Here is a 26,881-nt window from a genome sequence, read left to right on the forward strand (position 1 = left end):
ACAAAGATGGGGAGAAACCAGCGCAAAAAGGCTGAAAATTCCAAAAGCCAGAATGCCTGTTGTCCTCCAAAGGATCACAGCTCCTTGCCAGCAAGGGAACAAACCTGGATGGAGAATGAGTTTGACGAATTGACAGAAGTAGGCTTCAGAAGGTGGGTAATAACAAACTCCTCCAAACTAAAGGAGCATGTTCTAACCTAATGCAAGGAAGCTAAGAACCTTGAAAAAAGGTTAGATGAATTGCTAACTAGAATAACCAGTTTAGAGAAGAATATAAATGACCCGATGGAGCTGAAAAACACAGCACGAGAACTTCGTGAAGCAAACAAAAGTATCAATAGCTGTATCAATCAAGTGGAAGAAAGGATATCAGACATTGAAGATCAACTTAATGAAATAAAGCGAGAAGACAAGATTAGAGAAAAAAGAATAATAGGGAATGAACAAAGGCTCCAAGAAATATGGGACTATGTGAAAAGACCAAATCTACATTTGATTGGTGTACCTGAAAGTGATGGGGAGAATGGAACCAAGTTGGAAACACTCTTCAGGGTATTATCGAGGAGAACTTCCCCAACCTAGCAAGACAGGCCAACATTCAAATTCAAGAAATACAGAGAGCACCACAAACATACTCCTCAAGAAGAGCAACCCCAAGAAACCTAATTGTCAGATCCACCTAGGTTGAAATGAAGGGCAGCCAGAGAGAAAGGTTGGATTACCCACAAAGGGAAGCCCATCAGACTAACAGCAGATCTCTCTGCAGAAACCCCACAAGCCAGAAGAGAGTGGGGGCCAATATTTAACATTCTTAAAGAAAAGAATTTTCAACCCAGAATTTCATATCCAGCCAAACTAAGCTTCATAAGTGAAGGAAAAATAAAATCCTTTACAGACAAGCAAATGCTGAGAGATTTTGTCAGCACCAGGCCTGCCTTACAAGAGCTCATGAAGGAAGCACTAAACATGGAAAGAACCATTGGTACCAGCCACTGCAAAAACATACCAAATTGTAAAGACTATCGACACTATGACGAAACTGCATCAACTAATAGGCAAAATAACCAGCTAGCATTATAATGACAGGATCAAGTTCACACACAACAATATTAACCTTAAATGTAAACGGGCTAAGTGCCCCAATTAAAAGACACAGACTGGCAAACTGGATAAAGAGTCAAGACCCATCAGTATGCTATATTCAGGAGACCCATCTCACATGCAAAGACAAACATAGGCTCAAAATAAAGGGATGGAGGAATATTTACGAAGCAAATGGAAAGCAGAAAAAAGCAGGAGTTGCAACCCTAATCTTTGATAAAACAGACTTTAAACCAACAAAGATCAAAAGAGACAAAGAAGGGCATTACATAATGGTAAAGGGATCAATGCATCAAGAAGAGCTAACTATCCTAAATATATATGCACCCAACACAGGAGCACCCAGATTCATAAAGCAAGTTCTTAGAGACCAACAAAGAGAATTAGACTCCCATACAGTAATAGTGGGAGACTTTAACATCCCACTGTCAATATTAGACAGATCAATGAGACAGAAAATTAACAAGGATATTCAGGACTTGAACTCAGCTCTGGATCAAGCGGACGTAATAGACATCTATAGAACTCTCCACCCGAAATCAACAGAATATACATTCTTCTCAGCACCTCGTCACACTTATTCTAAAATTGACCACATAATTGGAAGTAAAACACTCCTCAGCAAATGCAAAAGAATGGAAATCATAACAGTCAGTCTCTCAGACCACAGTGCAATCAAATTAGAACTGAAGATTAAGAAACTCACTTAAAACCACACAACTATGTGGAAACTGAACAACCTGCTCCTGAATGACTACTGGGTAAATAACGAAATGAAGGCAGAAATAAAGATGTTCTTTGAAACCAATGAGAACAAAGACACAATGTACTAGAATCTCTGGGACACATTCAAAGCAGTGTGTAGAGGGAAATTTATAGCACTAAATGCCCACAAGAGAAAGCAGGAAAGATCTAAAATTGACATACTGACATGAAAATGAAAAGAACTAGAGAAGCAACAGCAAACAAATTCAAAAGCTAGCAGAAGACAAGAAATAACTAAGATCAGAGCAGAACTGAAGGAGATAGAGACACTAAAAACCTTTAAAAAAATCAGTGAATCCAGGAGCTGGTTTTTTGAAAAGATCAACAAAATAGACCACTAGCCCGACTAATAAAGAAAAAAAGAGAGAAGAATCAAATAGATGCAATAAAAAATGATATAGGGGATATCACCATTGATCCCACAGAAATACAAACTACCATCAGAGAATATTATAAACACCTCTATGCAAATAAACTAGAAAATCTAGAATGGATCAATTCCTGGACACATACACCCTCCCAAGTCTAAACCAGGAAGAAGTCGAATCCCTGAATAGACCAATAACAAATTCTGAAATTGAGGCAGTAATTAATAGCCTAGCAACCAAAAAAAGTCCAGGACCAGACAGACTCACAGCCAAATTCTACCAGAGGTACAAAGAGGAGCTGGTGTCATTCCTTCTGAAACTATTCCAAACAATAAAAAAAGACAAACTCCTCCCTAACTCATTTTATCAGGCCAGCATCATCCTGATACCAAAACCTGGCAGAGACACAACAAAAAAAAATTTCAGGCCAATATCCCTGATGAACATTGATGCGAAAATCCTCAATAAAATACTGGCAAACCGAACCCAGCAGCACATCAAAAAGCTATCCACCACAATCAAGTCGGCTTCATCCTTAGGATGCAAGGCTGGTTCAACATATAGAAATCAATAAATATAATCCATCACATAAACAGATCCAATGACAAAAACCACATGATTATCTCAATAGATGCAGAAAAGGCCTTTGACAAAATTCAACTCCCCTTCATGCTAAAAACTCTCAATAAACTAGGTATCGATGGAATGTATCTCAAAATAATAAGAGCTGTTTATGCAAACCCACAGCCAGTATCATACTGAATGGGCAAAAACTGGAAGCATTCACTTTGAAAACCAGCACAGAGGGAGAGAGTTGTGCTGCTGCCTCCGAGAGCTCCACCTTCGTGGCTCTGGATCCGGGGCCCCGGCCTGTGGCGGCGAGCGGCGGCCGCTGGAGACGAGCGGCGGCGGCAGGCGGCCAGCCCGGGTCTACCTCGCTCCGTGCAGGGCCGGGAGAGGGATCCGCCATATTGGAGCTGGGGCCGAAGGTGCCTTGGAGCCGCGGCGCGAGGCGGGTGGAGGTGGCGGCCCTGGCCTGGATCGGGGAGGAGTCGGCTCTGCCCTGGCCCGCAAGGCTGGGGAGCTAATGAGCCTCTCTGGCTAGTCTCCTCCCCGTCCACTCCCTCCACTTTCTGCCGCTGGGAGCCGGCTGTGGCAGTGGCAGTGGCAGTGGCAGTGGCAGCGGCAGGATGTTCTCCAAGAAGCCGCACGGGGACGTGAAGAAGTCCACCCAGAAGGTGCTAGACACCAAGAAGGACGCACTGACTCGCCTCAAGCACCTGCGCATCGTCATCGAGTTAATGGTGGAACTGGCTGAAGAAGATGCATTCATCCAGATGCCTGAATCCTAGTTCAGAGTTTATCTCGAGCTGTCTTCCTGATGCGTATTTGTTTTGGAAAGTGATGTTTATTTAGTGAAAAAAAGAATGCAGAATCTATTGATCTTAAACAGTTTTTCGACAACATTTTTTACATATATACTATGTGTTCTTTGAAAATTTTGTGACTATCGAAGCTAGTCTTAAACAGAAAGGTCACAAGTCTCAAAGAGAGGAACTGGATGCTATACTTTTTATTTTTGAGAAAATTTTACAACTTCTTCCAGAAAGAATTCATCAGCCATGGCAGTTTCATAATATTGGATTGATTTAAAGAAGCTACTTCACACAGGAGACTCCTTAAAGATTAGGCGGGAAGGTGTTCGTCTTTTCTTACTATGGTTGCAAGCTCTTCAGAATAACTGTAGCAAAGAACAGCTCTGGATGTTTTCATGCTTAATCCCTGGATTTTCAGCACCACAGTCTGAACATGGACCTCGAACTTTAGATAATCTCATTAATCCTCCACTCAACCTTTAAGAAACTCAAGTCACTATAGAAGAAATCACTCCTCTTGTCCCCCCACAATCAGGAGATAAAGGGCAAGAAGATCTCACAAGCTATTTTCTTGAAGCACTTCTAAAATACATAGTCATTCAGGTAAAAAGTTTAGAATGGAAGAACAAAGAAAACCAAGAAAGGGGATTTTCATTTTTGTTTTCACATTTTAAGAAATATTACTTGCCTTATATTTTTCCAAACATCTGTAAGGAAAACAGTTTATATCATCCTATACTTGACATCCCGCAGATGAGACCAAAGCCACATTATGTCATGATAAAGAAAGATGCTGAAACCAATGAAGCAATCTATTGTACAAAGGAGCCTTTCATTAAGGCTCGTGTTATTGTCATTCGTTGGCTGGTTTCTTTCTGGCTGGAGCCAAAACCACATACAGGACCTCATATTCCTGGGATGGAAGGTGAAGTCTTGCCAAAGAATATTCAGAGAGCAGCTGCTAGTTTAGTATCCAGAGAAGAAAGCAAAAATGATAATGCTGATAAAGCAGACAGAACTACAGAACCCGAACAGTCTCATTCCAATACAAGCACTCTCACGGAGCGAGAACCTAGCTCATCTAGTCTCTGTAGTATTGATGAAGAACATCTCACAGACATTGAAATAGTTCGCAGAGTTTTTTCTTCTAAAAGGAGTAATGTAAACTTTGTGACAGAGATATTTCGTCAGGCATTTTTATTACCAATTTGTGAAGCAGCAGCTATGAGAAAAGTGGTAAAAGTATATCAAGAATGGATCCAACAAGAGGAAAAACCTTTGTTCATGCAAGAGCCTGAAGAAATTGTGATCACTTCTTCAGACCTCCCTTGCATTGAAAATGTCACAGACCATGATATTTCAATGGAAGAAGGAGAAAAAAGAGAAGAGGAAAATGGGACCAATACTGCTGATCATGTTCGAAATTCCAGTTGGGCAAAAAACGGCTCCTACCAAGGTGCTCTTCATAACACCTCTGAAGAAGCCACAGAACAAAACATACGAGCTGGTACCCAGGCAGTTTTGCAGGTGTTTATTATAAACTCATCAAATATATTTCTTCTTGAACCTGCAAATGAAATAAAAAATCTTCTGGATGAACACACAGATATGTGTAAACGCATTCTTAACATTTATCGGTACATGGTTGTACAAGTATCAATGGACAAAAAGACTTGGGAACACATGCTGCTTGTGTTGCTCAGAGTCACGGAATCTGTACTGAAGATGCCATCACAAGCTTTTCTACAGTTCCAAGGGAAAAAAAATATGACCTTGGCAGGTCGACTTGCAGGACCACTTTTCCAGACCCTTATAGTTGCCTGGATCAAAGCAAACCTAAATGTGTACATCTCCCGAGAACTTTGGGATGACTTACTGTCAGTATTGTCATCGTTGACCTATTGGGAAGAGTTGGCCACTGAGTGGTCACTGACTATGGAGACATTAACTAAAGTTTTAGCTAGGAATTTATATAGTTTGGATCTCAGTGATTTACCATTGGATAAGCTGAGTGAACAGAAACAAAAAAAGCACAAAGGGAAAGGAGTTGGACATGAATTTCAGAAAGTTTCAGTTGACAAGTCATTTTCTAGAGGATGGAGTCGTGATCAGCCTGGCCAAGCCCCAATGAGACAGAGGAGTGCAACAACCACTGGTTCTCCAGGAACCGAAAAGGCGAGGAGTATAGTACGGCAAAAAACTGTCGATATTGATGATGCTCAAATACTTCCCCGCTCAACTAGAGTCAGACATTTTTCACAAAGTGAAGAAACTGGAAATGAAGTTTTTGGTGCTTTGAATGAGGAGCAGCCATTGCCTTGAAGTAGCAGCACTTCTGACATCTTGGAACCATTCACTGTTGAACGAGCCAAAGTCAATAAAGAGGACATGAGCCAAAAACTGCCTCCTCTTAATAGTGATATTGGCAGCAGCAGTGCTAATGTTCCTGATCTGATGGATGAGTTTATAGCAGAATGACTTCGAAGTGGTAATGCCTCGACTATGACAAGAAGAGGAAGTAGTCCAGGCAGCCTGGAAATTCCCAAAGACCTCCCTGATATTCTAAACAAGCAGAACCAGATGCGCCCTATTGATGACCCAGGTGTGCCCTCAGAATGGACTTCTCCTGCCAGTGCAGGGAGCAGTGATCTTATCAGCTCAGATAGTCATTCGGATTCTTTCAGCGCTTTCCAATATGATGGCCAAAAATTTGACAATTTTGGCTTTGGAGCCGACACTGGGGTTACGTCCTCTGCTGATGTGGATTCAGGTTCTGGCCATCATCAGAGTGCTGAAGAGCAGGAAGTGGCTAGTCTAACTACTCTTCATATAGATTCTGAAACAAGCAGTCTTAATCAGCAAGCTTTCTCTGCTGAAGTTGCAACTATTACTGGTTCAGAAAGTGCTTCCCCAGTCCACTCACCTCTGTGCTCCAGGTCACAGACTCCTTCCCCTTCTACATTGAATATAGATCACATGGAACAGAAGGATCTGCAGCTCGATGAGAAGCTCCACCACGCTGTTCTTCAGACACCAGATGATCTAGAAATTAGTGAATTTCCATCAGAATGTTGTAGTGTGATGGCAGGAGGTACTCTGACTGGATGGCATGCTGATGTTGCTACTGTAATGTGGCGAAGAATGCTAGGCATTTTGGGAGATGTAAATTCAATCATGGATCCTGAAATACATGCTCAAGTTTTTGATTACCTCTGTGAACTTTGGCAGAATCTAGCTAAGATTAGAGATAACCTCGGCATTTCAGCTGATAACCTGACCTCCCCTTCTCCACCAGTTTTAATTCCTCCACTGAGAATTCTTACACCTTGGCTTTTTAAGGCAACCATGTTGACTGATAAATATAAACAAGGTAAATTACATGCATATAAACTTATTGGTAATACAATGAAAAGAAGACAAGATGTTTCTCCAAATAGAGATTTTCTAACACATTTCTACAATATAATGCATTGTGGATTACTTCATATTGACCAGGATATTGTCAATACAATCATCAAACACTGCTCACCTCAATTTTTTTCACTTGGTTTGCCTGGTGCCACAATGCTTATTATGGATTTTATTGTAGCAGCTGGTAGAGTGGCTTCTTCAGCTTTTCTCAATGCACCAAGAGTAGAAGCACAAGTTCTTCTGGGATCTTTGGTTTGCTTTCCCAACTTATATTGTGAACTGCCTTCTCTTCATCCCAACATTCCTGATGTTGCTGTGTCTCAGTTTACAGATGTTAAGGAACTTATAATCAAAACTGTATTAAGCTCGGCAAGAGATGAGCCCTCTGGTCCTGCACGATGTGTAGCACTTTGTAGTTTAGGTATTTGGATTTGTGAAGAACTAGTCCATGAGTCTCATCATCCTCAAATTAAGGAAGCTCTGAATGTGATTTGTGTTTCCTTAAAGTTTACTAATAAAACAGTAGCCCACGTAGCTTGTAACATGCTTCACATGCTGGTTCATTATGTACCTAGACTTCAGATTTACCAGCCTGATTCTCCCTTGAAAATTATTCAGATCCTAATAGCTACCATCACCCATCTTTTACCAAGTACAGAGGCTTCATCTTATGAAATGGACAAGAGGTTGGTAGTATCTTTACTTCTCTGCCTTCTGGACTGGATCATGGCCTTACCTCTAAAGACACTGCTCCAACCATTTCATGCTACGGGAGCAGAAAGCGATAAAACAGAAAAATCTGTTCTCAATTGCATTTATAAGGTTTTACATGGGTGTGTTTATGGAGCTCAGTGTTTTAGCAATCCAAGGTATTTTCCCATGAGCCTCTCTGATTTGGCATCTGTAGATTATGATCCTTTTATGCATTTGGAAAGTCTGAAAGAGCCTGAGCCTCTGCGCTCTCCTGACTCAGAACGATCTTCTAAACTCCAGCCAGTAACAGAAGTGAAAACTCAAATGCAGCATGGATTAATCTCTATAGCAGCCCGCACTGTTATTACACATCTGGTAAATCACCTGGGCCATTATCCAATGAGCGGTGGTCCTGCTATGCTAACAAGTCAGGTGTGTGAAAATCACGACAATCATTACAGTGAAAGTACTGAACTTTCTCCTGAACTCTTTGAGAGTCCAAATATCCAGTTCTTTGTGTTAATAATACAACCTTAGTGTCCTGTATCCAGATCAGATCAGAAGAGAATATGCCTGGAGGAGGTTTATCTGCTGGCCTTGCATCAGCCAATTCAAATGTCAGAATCATAGTACGTGATCTCTCTGGAAAATATTCATGGGATTCTGCTATACTGTATGGCCCACCTCCTGTAAGTGGCTTGTCAGAACCTACATCTTTCATGCTTTCATTGTCTCACCAAGAGAAGCCAGAAGAGCCTCCGACATCTAATGAATGCTTAGAAGATATAACCGTAAAAGATGGACTTTCCAGTTTAAAAGATTTAGAGAAACTGTACCAACTTGGGATACAATAAGAGATGAAGAAGATGCTCTTGATGAACTCTTGCAGTATTTGGGTGTTACTAGTCCTGAATGCTTACAGAGAACTGGAATCTCACTTAATATTCCTGCTCCACAACCTGTGTGCATTTCTGAAAAACAAGAAAGTGATGTTATTAATGCTATCCTTAAGCAACATACAGAAGAAAAAGAATTTGTTGAGAAGCACTTTAATGACTTAAACATGAAAGCTGTGGAACAAGATGAACCAATACCTCAAAAACCTCAGTCAGCATTTTATTATTGCAGATTGCTTCTTAGTATATTGGGAATGAATTCCTGGGACAAACGGAGGAGCTTTCATCTCCTGAAGAAAAATGAAAAGCTACTTAGAGAACTTAGGAACTTGGATTCAAGGCAGTGCCGAGAGACACACAAGATTGCAGTATTTTATGTTGCTGAAGGACAAGAAGACAAACACTCCATTCTCACCAATACAGGAGGAAGTCAAGCATATGAAGATTTTGTAGCTGGTCTTGGTTTGGAGGTAAATCTTACAAACCATTGTGGTTTTATGGGAGGACTACAAAAAAACAAAAGCACTGGATTGACCACTCCATATTTTGCTACCTCTACAGTAGAAGTAATATTTCACATGTCAACAAGAATGCCTTCTGATTCTGATGATTCTTTGACCAAAAAATTGAGACATTTGGGAAATGATGAAGTGCACATTGTTTGGTCAGAGCATACTAGAGACTACAGGAGAGGAATTATTCCCACAGAATTTGGTGATGTCCTTATTGTAATATATCCAATGAAAAATCACATGTTCAGTATTCAGATAATGAGAAAACCAGAGGTTCCCTTCTTTGGTCCCCTTTTTGATGGTGCTATTGTGAATGGAAAGGTTCTACCCATTATGGTTAGAGCAACAGCTATAAATGCAAGCCGTGCTCTGAAATCTCTGATTCCATTGTATCAAAACTTCTATGAGGAGAGAGCACGATACCTGCAAACAATTGTCCAGCACCACTTAGAACCAACAACATTTGAAGATTTTGCAGCACAGGTTTTTTCTCCAGCTCCCTACCACCATTTACCATCTGATGCCGATCATTAAATATCAGTTCTGTTTATCTGAAGGCTCCTACCCAGAGATTCTACCCAGTGAAACTCCCACAGCAGCGCAGGTAGATGGGGCTGACCTGGCCTCTCCAATGTCTCCTCGAACTAGCAAAAGCCGCATGTCCATGAAGCTGCGTCGTTCCTCTGGCTCAGCCAATAAATCCTAAGGAGACAAGCAGCCCAGCAGTGATCAGCAGTAGCCACCTTAGCATGAACATAGGGTTAACCCTTTCAGGCCTTCATGTCTGCCATAACATGCATGTTTCTTCCTGTACATTTATTTGAGAAAACACTGGATTTAAATAATTTTAAATAATTTGTAGCTTAATATTAAAGATTTAAGTTATTTATTGTTTCATTTTTTTCCCACAATCCAAGCTGCCATATTTTGAGGGCAGGGGGAGTTTTATTCTACACCCTTTACCTTCCTAGATAATTATGTCTAAGTAGTTTTATCTTTAATTTCATGGTTAACTGTGAGCCAAAATACAATTGGACAATTAGTCTCATTATTTATTGTGCTCCATTGCAACTTTATGGTTCAATAAATATATAATTTTTTACAAATGTAAAATTTTACATTTAAGCATTTGTAAAGTTACAGCAAAAGATGTACCTGTTAATACACAGAATGTGTACAGATTATTTGTTATGACAATAAAACACTCAAAATAAATGGTCTTTAGCATCTCAAATTCCAACTGAAATCATTTTAGTATTAACTCTTCTTCCCAAAGCAATGTCTCATTTCTTGGCTGTGCAGGTGATGCCATGTTATATCCAATAACTAGAAAAATCACTGTGCTGAACTTTTATGTTTAGCTTCCAAGTATTTTTCTAATGTTTTGCATTTCAAGTGGTATCACTGTTAAATGCCATTTGTTTTCAGATTGTGGCCTTTTATTATTGGCTGCTAGATCCTGGTGTTTCTATGTTCTTTTTTAAGCACCAAAAAGAAGATGGGGAAGAAAAGAAGGAAAATTTTCTGATATAAATATGTTGTTCAAATTATGAGTACTATTTAAAAAAGAAAAAGGAACCTAACCCAGGAGTCTAAGTTAAATCTAATATTGTTAATACTGAACTTGCAGGTCCAGGTTGGTATACATTCCACCCTCTAGAAGTATTTTCTTACAGTAGATAAGCTGCTCACATTTTGTTTTGAATGGGCATCTCCTGAGGAAATGTAGCATGATATTGGTACTAACTGCATGTGTAAATACATCATACTGGCAAGCCGTAAAATATAAATTATGTATCATTCACGTAGTATCTATAATTTGTAACAGTGGGGGGAAAAGATGACATGGTATTTAATAATACAATAAAAATATTCTTATCAAAAAAAAAAAAGAAAAGAAAACCAGCACAAGACAAGGATGCCCTCTCTCACCACTCCTACTCAACATAGTATTGAAAGTTCTGACCAGGGCAATCAGGCAAGAGAAAGAAATAAAGCGTATTCAAATAGGAAGAGAGGAAGTCAAATTGTCTCTGTTTGCAGATGACATGATTGTATATTTAGAAAACCCCATCTTTTCAGCCCAAAATCTCCTTAAGCTTATAAGCAACTTCAGCAAAGTCTCAGGATACAAAATCAATATGCAAAAATCACAAACATTCCTATACCCCAATGACAGGCAAACAGAGAGCCAAATCATGAGTGAACTCTTATTCACAATTGCTACAAAGAGAATACGTAGGAATACAACTTACAAGGGATGTGAAGGACATCTTCAAGGAGAACTACAAACCACTACTCAAGGAAATAAGGGAGGACACAAACAAATGGAAAAACATTCCATGCTCATGGATAGGAATAATCAATATCGTGAAAATGGCCATACTGCTCAAAGTAATTTATAGATTCAACGCTATTCCCATCAAGCTACCATTGACTTTCTTCACAGAATTGGAAAAAGCTACTTTAAACTTCATATGGAACCGCCCGCATAGAGAAGACAATCTTAAGCAAAAAGAACAAAGCTAGAGGCATCATGCTACCTGACTTCAAACTATACTACAAGGCTACAGTAACCAAAACAGCATGGCACTGGTACCAAAACAGATACATAGACCAATGGAAGAGAACAGAGACCTAAGAAATAAAACCACACATCTACAACCATCTCATCTTTGACAAACCTGACACAAACAAGCAATGGGGAAAAGATTCCCTATTTAATAAATGGTGTTGGGAGAACTGGCTAGCTATGCAGAAAACTGAAACTGGACCCCTTCCTTACACCTTACACAAAAATCAACTCAAGATGGATTAAAGACTTAAAGATAAGACCTAAAACCATAAAAATCCTGGAAGAAATCCTAGGCAATACCATTCAGGACATAAGCATGGGCAAAGACTTCATGTCTAAAATACCAAAAGCAATGGCAACAAAAGCCAGAATTGACAAATGGAATCTAATTAAACTAAAGAGCTTCTGCACAGCAAAAGAAACTGTCATCAGAGTGAACAGGCAACCTACAGAATGGGAGAAAATTTTTGCAATCTATCCATCTGACAAAGGGCTAATATCCAGAATCTACAAAGAACTTAACCAAATTTACAAGAAAAAAACAACCCCATCGAAAAGTGGGCAAAGGATATGAACAGACACTTATCAAACATATGCTAACAAAGATATTAAAAAAAATGCTCATCATCACTGGTCATTAGAGAAATGCAAATCAAAACCACCATGAGATACCATCTCACGCCAGTTAGAATGGCGATCATGAAAAAGTCAGGAAACAACAGATGCTGGAGAGGATGTGGAGAAATAGGAACTGTTCTACACTGTTGGTGGGAGTGTAAATTAATTAGTTCAACCATTGTTGAAGACAGTGTGGCGATTCCTCAAGGATCTAGAACTAGAAATATCATTTGACCCAGCAATCCCATTACTGGGTATATACCCAAAGGATTTATAAATCCTTCTACTATAAAGTCACATGCACACATATGTTTATCGGGTCACTATTCACAACAGAAAGCCTTGGAACCAATTCAGATGTCCATCAATGATAGACTGGATAAAGAAAATGTGGCACATATACACCATGGAATACTACACAGCCATAAAAAAGGATGAGTTCATGTCCTTTGCAGGGACACTGATGAAGCTGGAAACCATCATTCTCAGAAACTATGACAAGAACAGAAAACCAAACGCCACGTGTTCTCACTCATAAGTGGGAGTTGAACAATGAGAACGCGTGGACACAGAGAGGGGAACATCACACATGGGGCCTGTCGGGGTGGGGGTCTAGAGGTGGAATAGCATTAGGAGAAATTCCTAAGGTAGGTGACCGGTTGATGAGTGCAGCAAACCACCATGACACATGTATACCTATGTAACAAAACTGCACATTCTGCACATGTACCCCAGAACTTTAAGTATAATAATATTAAAAAAAAAAGAGAAAAAAAATCACACACAGGATTTGGGTCTGGAGCAAGAGTCCTGAGACAGGTTATTTAACCTGTTAGAATTTGGGGGACTTTCATTAAAGAAGTGGTATTTAGGCCGGTTCTTGAGCAAGTGGGAAAATGTATGGTTGTTAGACTTGCAGTGAAAGGCGGAACAGCCATAGCAAAGGCACTGAAGCAGATGGTGTGAGTTTAAACAACATTTTGACTGGTATATTTAGCTATATAGTGCTCTCTAGGAGTTAGAAGGCTAGAAAGGCAGATTAGGACTAAATCAAGAACCAGAATGTCATGCTAAGTCGTTTGTAAGTAGTATAGAAGTAAATGATGATTTTTAAATAGAGGAATCAGAGTAAGCTTTATCTTGTAATAATGAAAAAGATGAATTGGACAGTAAAGAAATTATTTGGGAAGCTGGTAAAACAGTCCAGACTAGAGGTAGCTGAAGAGGCTTACTTAAATTCAGATAGTTAAGTGGTCAGGGTGTCCTTTAGGGAAGTGGGGTGAGGGAGGGGATGGGAGGAGATCATGCTTGACATAAAACTTATTATAAGTTGTTTCTTGCAAAAGTGACTTAGGATTGGAAGTCTGGAATGCTGCAATGGAAGAGTTTTCCTTACTTAACTTTTCTCTGAAATTAAACTGCCAATGTCAATAGTTATGTCTGTTTTTCTTTTCTCCATGCTTCCCTTTATTTCTTTACTACTGGTAAGTTACAAATTTTTAAAAATTGTTTTTCTGTTATCAAAAGAGCTCTTAATACATTTTGAAGCAGTGCTAAGTGAAATTTTTCTCTTTATTTGTATGACGTTCACTTTCTATTTGTTGCCCTGAGTTACTTGGGAAATATTTTTCAGAATGCATGTTTCCTCTCAGCAGACACTCTGACCACCAGTTGGGGAGGCAAACTATCAGTGTATTTTGAAAAAGTTTCCTGATTGTTTCTGAATCTGCTGTGCCTTTTCAGTTGACAATCATTGATTTATTACAAAATGCCAAAGGCCTTTGTTTTTTCAATTTAGTACTTTGGCTCAGGAAGATACAGGTGTTCCTTAATTGATAGTATCACATACTCTACTCAGCTGAGCTCATTCTAGTCAGATATTGTACACCTACTCTGTACTGAGGATACAGAGATGAGATGTGGTTCCTAGCAACAGTTAGTTCCCTTCCCTCAGCTACTCCATAGCCAAGTTCCTCACTTGCCGTAACCAATAAGCGCTAAGCATGCCGTATGATAGATTTGTAAAACCTGTCTTTTCATCACCCTTTTAATCCCTACTCCTTGATAGAGGAGTTTTGCTTTGTTTTACCTCAGTGGCTCCTAGCCCAGATGAACAGCAAAATCCTGAAATTCTTAATTTAAAAACCAGACATGTGTTTCTCAAGCCTACCCTCCAGTATCTGATTTAGTAGTTTATGGTAAGTCCTGGTAATTTGCATTTTTAAAAGGTCCCCAAGTGATTCTGATGTGCAGCTGGGTTGAAGAACCACTGGTTTGGTTCATTTAATTCCTCCTCACTCCTGATTACACATTTACTTTAACCTCTCCTCTCCTTTCATTTCATTCTTACCTAGTTACCCAAAACAAAATCTTGTTGACTTTCTTTGCTCTGTTTCTTAGCTGAATAGCAACCATAGTCATGATTGTTAATGGTAAGATAGTACTAGCAATACTAAAAAGCACTGGGGCTTAAAGTGAAGTTAGATATAATGAAGAGCTAGTGTTCTCAGGTTATTGTATCCCATCTTCCTTCTCTAGTTACAAAAGTAATTTTTACAAATACTGACGTGATTAATTAAAACTGTGTTCATTTTTGTATAGTTACCAATATTTGCTGTTGAATAACTTGGGTGGAGGAAGATTAATGTGCAGTCAATTTATGAATTGGTGACTTGATGAATTGGGTAATATTTGGTGACCTCTGCACTCATTTTTTCTGGGAGAATGTACTTTCATTTCAGATAATGTCACATGAACTTTTGGAGAATAACTGTCAACCACAGGAAGTTCTTTTATTATATAGGTGTTCTGGAGACCTAAAAGCTTTTTTGTTATAATTTATATACCGTGTTGAAACAATTTTACTTTCGCCCTCTTCCTTTTCATGTCTTCTTTTAATGTTGCATCTAAAACATTGTTTTTTCACACCTCTTTTTAAGAAAAGCAACAGCATGGTTTCTTTCATGAAATGTTTCCAGAAGCCTGATCCAAAAAGAGAAAAGTATAGCTGGTTAAAGGAGGGAGGAAGCCCTAAATCTGGCTTCTTCCCAGAGTACCTCTGTGGCATCTGTGGATTCCCTTGAGTTCAGCACATGGTTTAAACACCATTGATTTCAAGAGTCTTTGCCCCTCACAAGATCAGGAAAATAGAGCTGCATGTACTATTTTTTTAAACTTTGAGGCAAATGTAATGTTATCTTTTCTCCTGAGCTTAAGATAAAGCTTTTGAAAACATACAGACCTTTTGTGATCGGGCTTTTAACATTCTCTATCAGCTTGTATAAAATGAATCAGAAAGAAAATTATGATACAGTTCTTTTTTCCTGAGTTATCAGTTGACAATGTTTGCAGTTTTACTTTCTTACTATACTAGTTAATGACTCTTACAAGTATTGTATAAGATCAGCTTAGAATACATGTTCATCTCAAACCTTGAAGAAGTGAAAACATATATTTTTGGTATTCAGAATAAAAAGTATAAATGTTTAATAATTTTTATTTGTTTCTATCCTTCATTTTGGAGATCTCAACAACTATTCTGGAATTTTCCCCCCTCACGTTCTGTTTTGCTGTCCCCGTACCCAATAGCAAGAAACTACTGCCTACCTTAGCACAAGTTTCACAGAAATTTTAATCTACCTATCCACATTCAGCTTTGCTCATGCTATCTGTTCAAACAGAACTTATAGTCAGTTTTTAGTTGTCTTTTTAAAGAAACATCTTTACACAAAGGACCTTTGAAATCCCTTGGGAAGAATTAAACTAAGTCATGTGAGTGTTGTAGTTCTAGACTTACACTTTTGCTACTTAATATTATACACTAAAAAGGAGACAGTTGAAGTGGTCCTGAGTTCTTTGAAATTGTCTAATAAGTCTGATTTCTGACAGCAAGACATTTAAATAATGCAGAATGAAGTCACTGAGTCATATGAAATGAATCATATGAAATGACTTTAAGTTTTATCTGTATTCTTGCTTTGCCATCAGGGATTTCTAGTCTAGTATTGGTAGCTTATATTAAAATCTACTCAGTTGATCTTTTCTTAGGAAGAAAATTTCTAGTGCTATGTTAGAAAAAAGTGTTTTTATTTCTAACTAGTGGTGAGAATATAGTTATCCCCATATCCCCCAAATACTTTTAGGATAATCTTGACCAAAAAATCTTTTGTTAAATGCAGTAATTCAATATAATTAAAATGTTTTTGAAAACATCTTTGGGACTGAATCTGTTTTGAGTTTTTGAATGTTAGTAAACATCCCAATACTCCAGTTTTCCATATATCATATAATTTGATATAAGAGGAAGTCAAGGTGGATCTTGTCTATTTGAGTAGGAGAAATGCTTGATAATACTTGATATTATCCTGTGCAAGGATTTGGATAATTGCCATTTCCATCTTTTTTTTTTTTTTTTTTTTTTTTGAGATGGCGTCTAGCCCTGTTGCCCAGGCTGGAGTGCAGTGGCGCCATCTCGGCTCACTACAACCTCTGCTTCCTGGGTTCAGGCAATTCTCCTGCCTCAGCCTCCCGAGTAGCTGGGATTACAGGCACCCACAACCACACCCAGCTAATTTTTGTATTTTTAGTAGAAACGGGGTTTCACTGTGTTGCCCAGGCTGGTCTCGAACTCCAGACTTCGAGATCCGCCTGTCTTGGCCTCTCAAATTGCTGAGATTAGAAGCATGAGCCACCGCGTGCAGCCCCCCCGTCCCTTTTTTTTTAAGACAGAGTTTTGCTCTTGTTGCCTAGGCTGGAGTGCAATGGTGCAATCATGGCTCACCCGCAACCTCTGACTCCTGGGTTCAAGCGATTCTCCTGCCTCAGCCTCCCGAGTAGCTGGGATTACAGGCATGTGCCACCACGCCCTACTAATTTTGTATTTTTAGTAGAGATGGGGTTTCTCCACGTTAGTCAGGCTCGTCTCGAACTCCCGACCTCAGGTGATCCTCCTGCCTTGGCGCCTCCCAAAGTGCTGGGATTACAGGTGTGAGCCACCGTGCCTGGCCGCCATTTCTATTTTTAAGAAGGTAAGATTCAGAGCAAAAATACTCACTGCTTATAAAAAGAGTTATTTAGTCAGGATTATAAGAAGAAACCTATTTTTGCCTTCATTTAACTGCAAAAAAATGTAAGCTGTAACTCATTATCTTTCTTGAGTTCTTTTTTTTCTTTAGTAAATCTTGTCACATTTTAGCATTGTTTCTTATTTCAGCCGTGTATTCTTTGTATAAGCCTTGCTCAGTCTGCATGCCATTAGTGTTTTCAGCCTGCTTTGTATTGATAGCTTCTTACATTTCAGTGTTTATAATTGACAGCGCTCTTTAATTAACTAGTTCAGATCAAATTGAATGGTGTTATTTCTATAACATAATTAGAAATCTTTTCAGAGGTTCCTTCCATGATTTCTAGTTTTAGTTTATGAAACATTTACAGTATAAAATATTTGTTTTTCTTTTTTCTTTTTGTTTATATAGAAGTGGTACACCATCCCCAAAACGAACATCTGTAGGCTCCAGGCCACCAGCAGTAAGAGGCAGTAGAGATCGTTTTACTGGAGAATCATACACAGTGCTGGGTAGGACAAAACATAATTGTTTTTCATTATCTCAGATTAAAGGCATCACAATCACACTGGTGGACTTTCCACTCAAAGTGACTGCCTGTATATTGAATAAATCTTTGCAAGAAATTTCTCCCAATTGAAGCCTAATTACTTTGGGGAGTTTTCAGATTGTCTTATTATTATTGATACTTTTAAAACTCTACTTCAGCTTACGTAGTGTTCCCACATCTTTATATATAAGCCGGGAGGGGGGATAGTAAGGAAGAAAACCTCTGAAGCGTTTTATATTCAAGAATAGTACTAAACGTAAAGGTAAAGTTAGAGCAGGTACTCAGCATTTAATGTCTGTGTGTTAACATGATTATTCTTATAGGAAAAGTACTTGAATAAAAATTTTTGTGTCTTTTTTTGGGACGAGTGGTAGGTAAAACTGTGTGACTCATAAGGAAGAGATGAGTCAAATCTACCTTTCTGATCTTTTGTAGGAGACACTGCTATTGAAAGTGGACAACATTATTGGGAGGTCAAGGCCCAGAAGGATTGTAAATCCTACAGTGTGGGAGTAGCATACAAAACGTTGGGGAAATTTGACCAATTGGGAAAGACAAACACTAGTTGGTGTATCCATGTCAACAACTGGCTACAAAACACATTTGCAGCAAAGCATAATAATAAAGTCAAAGCTTTGGATGTTACTGTTCCTGAAAAAATAGGTGTATTTTGTGATTTTGATGGGGGTAAGTTTATTTTCTCGTAGGTTATTTCATCATAGTTGCTTGCATTTCAGTACCTTTCACTGGTAATCATCTATACAGGATTTCCATTAGTATTGTGGGAAGGACATTTTGATCAGGTAGGCTTTTGATTGCAATCATAATCTCAATTCTAGAATTGACTGGAATGGTATATGTGATGTCTGCCTGGAGCCCTATAAAAGCACTCATTTATAATATACTAAGTCTGAAAGATTTTGCTAATTTTAGTCTTCAGCACTAACATTTCTTCTGTCCATTTTAATTCCTTCCTTACCATGTTTTATTACCTACCTCTAAAGAGTGATAGTCAAAATTTTCTAGTTGAAGTAGATCTTAGAAATTACCCAACCCAGGATGAATACCCCATTTTACATGATGTGATTATTACACATTGCATGCCTATATGAAAGCATCTCATATACTGCGTAAACATACACACCTACTATGTACCTACAAAAATTAAAAAAAAATTCAAGAAGATACCAGAGCCATATTTTCTACTATCCTAGTAAACATAAGCTATACAGCAAATATTTACTGTGCCAAACCGCATCACACTTGAAACGAATGGAATGTTCTTAATTTTCAAGTTGCTGTCTTTAAAAATATTCTTCAGAATGACTCATGATATCTTTAGAGGGGCCAAAGGGGTTTCCCCTCAATATCAGAATTTCTTTACTTACAAAATTATTAACACAGTGTAGTCTAATCCAAAAAAGAAAAGAAATTACTCCATCTGCCACACAGTATACAGTTCTTAGTACACTATCTCTGCAGGTAGTTGCCACTTATGTGCCTGAAGAACTTTTAATGTGAAGTTTACTGTCTTAGAAAGCAGCCTGTTTCATTGTTGGACAGCTCTTGGTTAGAAGATTTTTCTTAAGTTGACTCACATTGTTTCCCTTAAATTTTCCCATCTGAATAAACACAGAATTACGTTTCCTCACTCATGTTCACACGATAATCCTTTATTAAAAACTTTCTTGCCCTGTTTTTCCAGACCATATATTCTGTTATTAGCTGCCCCTGTTAAAATTTAATTTTTCCAAGTCTTTATAATCTCCTATGGCTGTCTAGTATGTCAGTGTTTTTCTTAAAGGTTGGTCTTAGAGTGGAACACATGACCTCTGACCAGCAAAGGACAGTAATTTGGCTATGCTATTTCTAATAGTATGACTTAGCACTGCTGATCAATATTGAGCTTGTAGCTACCCTAATCCATTAGATCTTTTTTCACGGCATTATGTCAAATTGTCTTTTTCTTTTGTTAGGCAGTTTATGGTTTTGGTTTTTTTTGTTTTGTTTTGTTTTGTTTTTGAGACAGAGTCTTACTCTGTTGTCCAGGCTGGAGTGCAGTGGCTCAGTCTCAGCTCACTGCAACCTCTGCCTCCCATGTTCAAGCGACTCTCCTGCCTCAGCCTCCTGAGTTAGCTGGGATTACAGGTGCATGCCACCACGCCTGGCTAATTTTTGTATTTTTAGTAGAGACGGGGTTTCACCATGCTGGCCAGGCTGGTCTCAAACTCCTGACCTCAAGTGATCCACCTGGCTGGGCCTCCCAAAGTGCAGGGATTACTGCCATGAGCCACCACACCCAGCCAGTTTATGGTTTTTAAAAATAACTCAATGTTATATGTAATGCAAATGAAGACTATTACATTTACCCTTTTTTAGTTTCATCTTAATAGATTTGGCCCAAATTTCCCGTCTTAAAATTATCTAAAAATTTACTTGATATTTATATTTTGAAAAAATTTTAAAGCTCATTGAATTAGTTATTTCATAAGCATATTCTCTACAGTCATCTAATGTATAATAATTTTGAAGATGACATAATATTGAACTAAAGTAATTCCCTAGATGTTTTTTCTCCAAGTTGACACTTAAGCTAATACCAAATTTTATTATTTTAGTAATATTGTGCCCAAATAATTCCGTGAGCTGTCAGTTAATTTACTCAAAAAAGGAGAAAAAGTAATTTTGGCTTGATTTATTTTTAGTGATGACATGTTAGCTTTGCTGTGTTTTTTGTTTTTTAACTTATTCACCTTGAATCAGTTAAATCATTTTCCTCAGGATAAATGGCAAATTTATTAGCACACATTTTTTTTTCAACTACCAAGACAACATTTGCTTCTTCTCTCTCCTTTCCCATACTCTGTGAGTCCATAAAGGTAGTAGTGAGATACAGTTTTTAGTCTAGAACATAACGTATGGCAAGGGGAAGTTGTACTGTGGAATAGGATCAGATTCTGAGAGCCTTGAAAAATAATAATGGACTGGTCTTCAGTAGTGGGGAGGGGTGGTTCTGCATGTTTTAGAACACTATAGTCATAAGATAATTGAGTTTTAGAAATATTAGAGAGTCAGTGGTTAAAGATGGAAGAGATCGAAAGCATAGCAAGCATAAGACTTTTCGGGAAGCAGTCTTCAAGTGGTGTAGAGCAGGACTGAGTCTCTTGTTAGCTATTAAGCCCTTATTGCCTGGCTAGTGCTTTTCACATAGAAAGCCCTTAATAAGTGTTGAGTAACTGGCAACAAGCATCTGAGCAGTGGAGAATTAAGAATGGATTTGACAGTGTAGAAGTAGAATTCATAGGACTTAGTAACTAAATACAGATCAGCTGAGGACAGACAGTTGAAGATGACTTTGAGGTTCCAGCCAGTGTGATCAAGAGGATGACAGTGTCAACAGGATAGGGAACATAGAGTTTTGGGGGGAAATGAAATGCCAGCAGGATAATCATGTGGCATGTTTAGCAAGCATTTTGAAATTCAGTGCTAGAATTCAGCAGTTAAGTAGAGCTGACATTAAATATTTGAGACAGCATTACAGAATTGCTATGGAAGATTGTACAGGACAATATATTTAAGCATTACTATTCTGCTGTTTACTAACTTTGTGATCATATGTACCGTTATGCTGTTTACCAACTTCGAGATCAAAGTACTGGGTACTTTACATACATTACCTCAAAATATTAAACAATCTACATAATAATGTGCATAAATATTAGTTTATTTTATCTTCCTCTTTGGTGGCAGTTGATTTATTAAGGAAGCATTATATAAAGAAAAGAGAGCATGGACAAAGTGGCTACATTTAGAACAGGAAGAAAAGGAGGAGATGGTGAAGTTATCCCCAGGGTTATGATACAAACCAAGGGAATGGTCATCAGAGAAGAGTTTCAAGAAGTGATAACAGCTGTAAGGAGGCCATTTGGTTGGCCAGTTTAGGAGGTCAGACAGACAGTTTTTTTTAGGGCATGATCCTATTGAAGGATATACTGTGAGGTGATTTTAAAAATTAACAAAGCAGGTCAGGCATAGTGGCTCATGCTTGTAATCCTAGCACTTTGGGAGACTGAGGTGGAGGATTGCTTGAGCTCAGGAGTTCAAGCCCAGCTTATACAAAATAGCAAGACCCCGCCTCTGTTAAAAAAATTAACAAAATTGAAGCAGTGATAGATATATTGTGATTTTAGAGACTGGAGTATCAGTATCGCATCAGGTAGATAGAAGACAAGGTTTAATAGAGTAAACCTTAAATGGTGATTAGAATTTGGGCAGAGAGGCTGGTTATAGGAAAAATAAGGAGGAAGAAATGGCCTTGGTTTACACTGGGCTAATGAAACCATTTGTTAAATAATGATCAAATAAGGAAATAGTTTGTATTAAATAAGTCGAATCGTGCTAGATTATAGAGGTATTATAGAGGTCTTGAAAACCAGGGGAAGAAAATTGGATTGGGCTTTTCCTTAAGCATTTGTCCTTCTGATTTTCAAGTGAGAATAATTAATCCAGTCCTCATACAAAAATTAATGCCAACTTATATATTATTACTTTTTGCATGATTATGCGTTAGAATTAATTAAATGTTACAATTTTTTGTATAATAAATTAGGCTTTTTTTCCTTCTTTTTTAGGTCAACTTTCATTCTATGATGCAAATTCTAAACAGTTGCTATATTCCTTTAAGACAAAATTTACTCAGCCAGTACTACCTGGTTTCATGGTTAGTATGTTTTATATCTTATATATACCTAACATATTTTACTTGGTTGGCAACTTTAAGGAGAATATTCTATACTGTATATTTGGAGAAGGAGAATATTTTGTTTTTTCTTCATATTCTCCTCCATTTCCCCAATTCACCCTCTCCCAAATCTGTGATTGTTTTTATATATTTTTGGTATATTTTATTGAAGTTTATGTTAATACATGAAGTACACAAATCATGTAGTTTGATGAGTTTTTATAGGACTGCACTCATGTGTAACTAGCACTTAGAACATTACGAGAACCTCAGAAGCCCCCTCTAGTGCCCATTTCCAGTCCCTAATGGCCCTTCTCCAGTGTTAGCACTGTATTGACTTTTAATACCCTAAATTTACTTCCTTTTCAGTTTTATATAAACAGAATCATACAGTATCTTTTTGACTCAACATTATGCTTGTGAGATTAATCCATATTCTATGTGGTTATAGTTCATTCATTCTCATAGCTGTATAGTTTTCCATTCTGTGACTATATCAATTGATTTATAAATTTTAATTTAGTTGGATATGTGGGTGGTTTCCATTTGGGGGCTATACAAATAGAACTGCTATGAATACTTTTGTTCATATCTTTTGATAAATGTATGTGTATATTTCCATTGAGTATATACCTATGATTGGGGTTGCTAGATCATATCGTATATGTATAATCAACTGTAAAATTGCCGGTTTTCTGAAATGGTTGGTTATGCTAATTTACAACTAGCAGTATGTAAGAATTTGAGTTCCTTCAAATCCTTGTCAACACTTAGTATTATCTTTTAAAAAATTTTTTGTCCTTCTAGTGGATGATATATTACATTTTGGTTTTAATTTGCATTTCCTTGATTACTAGTGCTGTTGAGCACCTTTTTATATATTTGTTGACTATTTGGGTATATGCTTTTGTGAACTGGCTATTCAGATCTTTTGCTTGTATTTCTATTAGGTTGTCTTCGTGTTTCTTATGGGTTAATTTGTAGGCTCTTCTTCACTCTGGCTTTCCTTTTTCCTTATTGGTATTGTTTGATAAACAAAAGTTAATTTTGTTCAGTTTATCAATTTTTTCATTTACAGTTAGCACTTTTTGTGTTCTGTTTAAGAAATCAGTATGCACCCCCAAGGTCATGAAAATATTCTTCTAAAAGCTTTACCTTGTACATTTAGATATAGACTGCATTTACAATGCAAGTACAATGTAGAATTGATGTGTTTGGTATGAAGTAAGGATCTAGATACGTTCTTTAATTCCCCATGGATATCCAGTTATTCCAGGACCATTTATTGACAAGATCATAGTGCAGTGTCATCTTTGTACAAAATATTAGATGACTGTCTTTGTGTGCTATGCTGAATATATGTATGCACACCACATAGCAATTACATCCTGTGTAATTGCAGGTCTACTCAATTTCAGGCTGAAAAGAAAAATTTGTTTCTCTGCACAAAATAAAACATGGTTTTGAATTTATTTAAGCAAATGTTATTGCTTTTTCCAACTCATAACCTTCTGCATCTTTTCATAGGTTAGGTTCCCGTGGGGAGTTGTGGGATCCAGTTAAAGTTACCATTACTTTGGCTAGAGCTTTTCTTAAATTTGGAGGCTACCTCTATAAGTCAAGATGGTATATTTCAAATGGAATATTTTGCATGTATATTCTTCTGTCATCACCCCTAACTGTAACTTCTCAACTATAAGGAGAAAGTTTTCAGAGTAAGAGTGGGTTGAAAATACAGTGCTTTTAAATCTCATTATCCATAGTAATTATTTATTCCAGATACTTTAATCTCTTAAGTTTAAAACAATGCTAATAACCAGGACACCTATTTTTACATTAAAAGTAAGTGATTAGTGACTAAAGTTATTGCTCATGGAAACATAAAGATACTGGAAGGGAGGGTTGTTTCTTTTTCCTTTTTTTTTTTTTTTTAACTTTGTACAAACCTCTGCCATATTACGCATTTTTGGCTATTTTTCCAAACTGGTCCATCAAGGATGAGTTGTTTACCATGTGGAATGCAGAAAAATTTTTTCCAAGACTTAGGTGTGCTTTTATAAATAGTAGATTTACTTTTAATTTGAATCTATCTCATGTATGTATGTACTGAGTTTATTGTTTTTCATTCCAAATAATACTCTAATTATATTAGTATATGTCATAAGATACTGCAAGAAATTATTTTAAGCTTGTTAAAATTTTTTTTCCTTCATTGAAGGCTTGCTTTTATTAAGTACGTTAATGCCTATTAAATGTTTTGTGTACAAGATTAATTTTTAAGTCAGTTTTATTGAATTTATAGTATGGTGCAGTTCTGTGGTTTTTAGCAAATGCCTGCAGTTGTATAACCACCACCATAATCAAGATATAGAACATTTCCATCACCCTAGAAAATTCCTTTGTGTTCTTTTATAGTGGACCGTTCCACACAACCAGCCCTAGCTATCAGTAACCAGTTCGTAGGCCCTATAGTTGTACCTTTTCCAGAACATCGTATAAATAGAATTGTATGGTATGTAGCCTTTCGATTCCGTACCATGCTGCATTTGAAATTCATCCATGTTGTTGTGGTGTCAGTATTCTCCTTTTTTTCATTGCTGAGTAGTGTTTCATATATGTATGTATCACAGTTTATTCATTCATTCACCAGTTGAAAGACACTTGGGTTTTTCCCAGTTTGGGGCAGTTATGAATAAAATCACTATAAGCATTTACATATGGGATTTTCCCTTGGGTAAATACCTAAGAGCAGTAATAGAGTAGCTGTATCACATTGAAAGTGTATGTTTAACTTCATGGGGAACTACCAAAATGTTTTCCAAAGTGGCTGTACCATTTTTTGCCTTCCTATCAGTGATATGAGAGTTGGTCATATCCTTGCCATTATTTGATATTACCAGATTTTTTGTTGTTGTTAAGCCATTTTAATAGGTGTGTAGTGGTATGTCATTGTGTTTTTATTTGTAGTTTCCTAATGACAAATGATGTTTCATGTCCTTATTTGCCATTCATATAATTTATTTCAAGTATCTGTTAAAATTATTTGCTTACTTTTTAGGACTTAATTGTTTTCTTATTTTTTTATTTTACTTTATTTTTAAGACAGGGTCTCGCTCTGTCACCCAGGCTAGAGTACAGTGGTGCGATCACAGCTCACTGCAGTCACAACTGCCTGGGCTCAAGTGATCCTCCCACCTTAGCCTCCCGAGTAGCTGGGATTACAGGTGCCCACCACCATACCCGGCTATTTAAAAAATGTTTCTTGTACAGATGGAGTTTTGCTATATTGCCCAGGCTGGTCTCAAAGTCCTGGGCTCAAATGATCCACCAGCCTTGGCCCCCCAAAATCCTGGGATTACAGGCATGAGCCACTGCCTGGTTTTCCTGTTTTTAAGAGTTCTTTATAAGTTTGGATGTGAATCCTTTGTCAGATATATGCTTTGCAAATATTTTCTCCTGGTTATGGTTTGCATTTTCATTTTCTGAACATTTCAGAGAGAAGTTTTTCATTTTGTTATGAAGTCCAATTTGGTAATTTTTTTCCCTATTATGGGTAATGCTTTGCTTAACTCAAGGTCACAAAGGTTTTATGTTTTCTTCTTGATTTCCCTTTGCATCTTCATGTTAGATATTTTGAGTAAATATTTTTCTAAATCATTTAAATAATTTCCAAAAAATAATATAGTAGTTTTATAATCAGAAAGTTGCTTTTGTATTTTGGGAGTTATCATTACTGAGCCTGTTAGTTTTGAAAATTTATAATGTTAATTATATAATTACAAATTTCACAGTTCAGTAGATTCTTTGGTATAATAATCTAGTTACTTAGTAGATATTGAACACTTAAGGGTATAATTGAAGGTGATGATACTTAAACAACTTCTAGAATTTCCCTTGCTTTAAGCTTGTGTCTACTATTAATATATACGGTAGTTGATGATAGTGTCAATGATCTGTATTTTCATATTTTAATTCTTTTGACTGTGTCCCAAATCTTATGTCTCACTTTATTGAATTATAGCTGCTCTGTTCACAAGCAGTTTTAATTTTATTTTATTTTTTGTTTTTATTTTTATTATACTTTAAGTTCTAGGGTACATGTGCACAACGTGCAGGTTTGTTATATATGTATACATGTGCCATGTTGGTGTGCTGCACCCATTAACTCGTCATTTACCTTAGGTATATCTCCTAATGCTATCCCTCTCCCCT

The 26,881-nt window shown here is 37.4% G+C and overlaps 1 protein-coding gene and 1 pseudogene across 17 annotated transcripts in view, besides 2 other annotated features; both read left to right on the forward strand.

The window, feature by feature from the left end:
- FSD1L (fibronectin type III and SPRY domain containing 1 like) overlaps positions 1-26,881 on the forward strand; it is a 110,257-nt gene that overhangs the window by 74,527 nt on the left and 8,849 nt on the right. For 9 of the 16 annotated variants that reach the window (XM_011519078.3, XM_011519077.3, XM_005252254.3 and 6 more), the window contains 3 exons: positions 17,790-17,890; positions 18,364-18,615; positions 22,560-22,648. The exons of 3 other annotated variants lie outside the window; for them this stretch is intronic. In XM_011519078.3, the coding sequence (XP_011517380.2) occupies positions 17,790-17,890; positions 18,364-18,615; positions 22,560-22,648 (442 nt within the window). The remainder of the gene's footprint in view (positions 1-17,789; positions 17,891-18,363; positions 18,616-22,559; positions 22,649-26,881) is intronic. 4 more of the 16 variants (XM_011519079.3, XM_017015182.2, NM_001287191.2 and 1 more) reach the window with 1 other exon arrangement.
- Positions 3,121-10,616, forward strand: RALGAPA1P1 (RALGAPA1 pseudogene 1; annotated as a pseudogene). Its single transcript, NR_104269.1, has one exon. The product of NR_104269.1 is annotated as an RALGAPA1 pseudogene 1 (transcript).
- Positions 6,534-6,633: an enhancer, noted in NCBI's record as "active region_28741". NCBI's record gives its function as "activates an Ori minimal core promoter by ATAC-STARR-seq in GM12878 lymphoblastoid cells {active_cell/tissue: GM12878}" and the evidence as "EXISTENCE:reporter gene assay evidence [ECO:0000049][PMID:35858748]".
- Positions 6,644-6,753: an enhancer, noted in NCBI's record as "active region_28742". NCBI's record gives its function as "activates an Ori minimal core promoter by ATAC-STARR-seq in GM12878 lymphoblastoid cells {active_cell/tissue: GM12878}" and the evidence as "EXISTENCE:reporter gene assay evidence [ECO:0000049][PMID:35858748]".

The sequence above is a fragment of the Homo sapiens genome, chromosome 9 (assembly GCF_000001405.40).
Source record: "Homo sapiens chromosome 9, GRCh38.p14 Primary Assembly".
Lineage (NCBI taxonomy): Eukaryota > Metazoa > Chordata > Mammalia > Primates > Hominidae > Homo > Homo sapiens.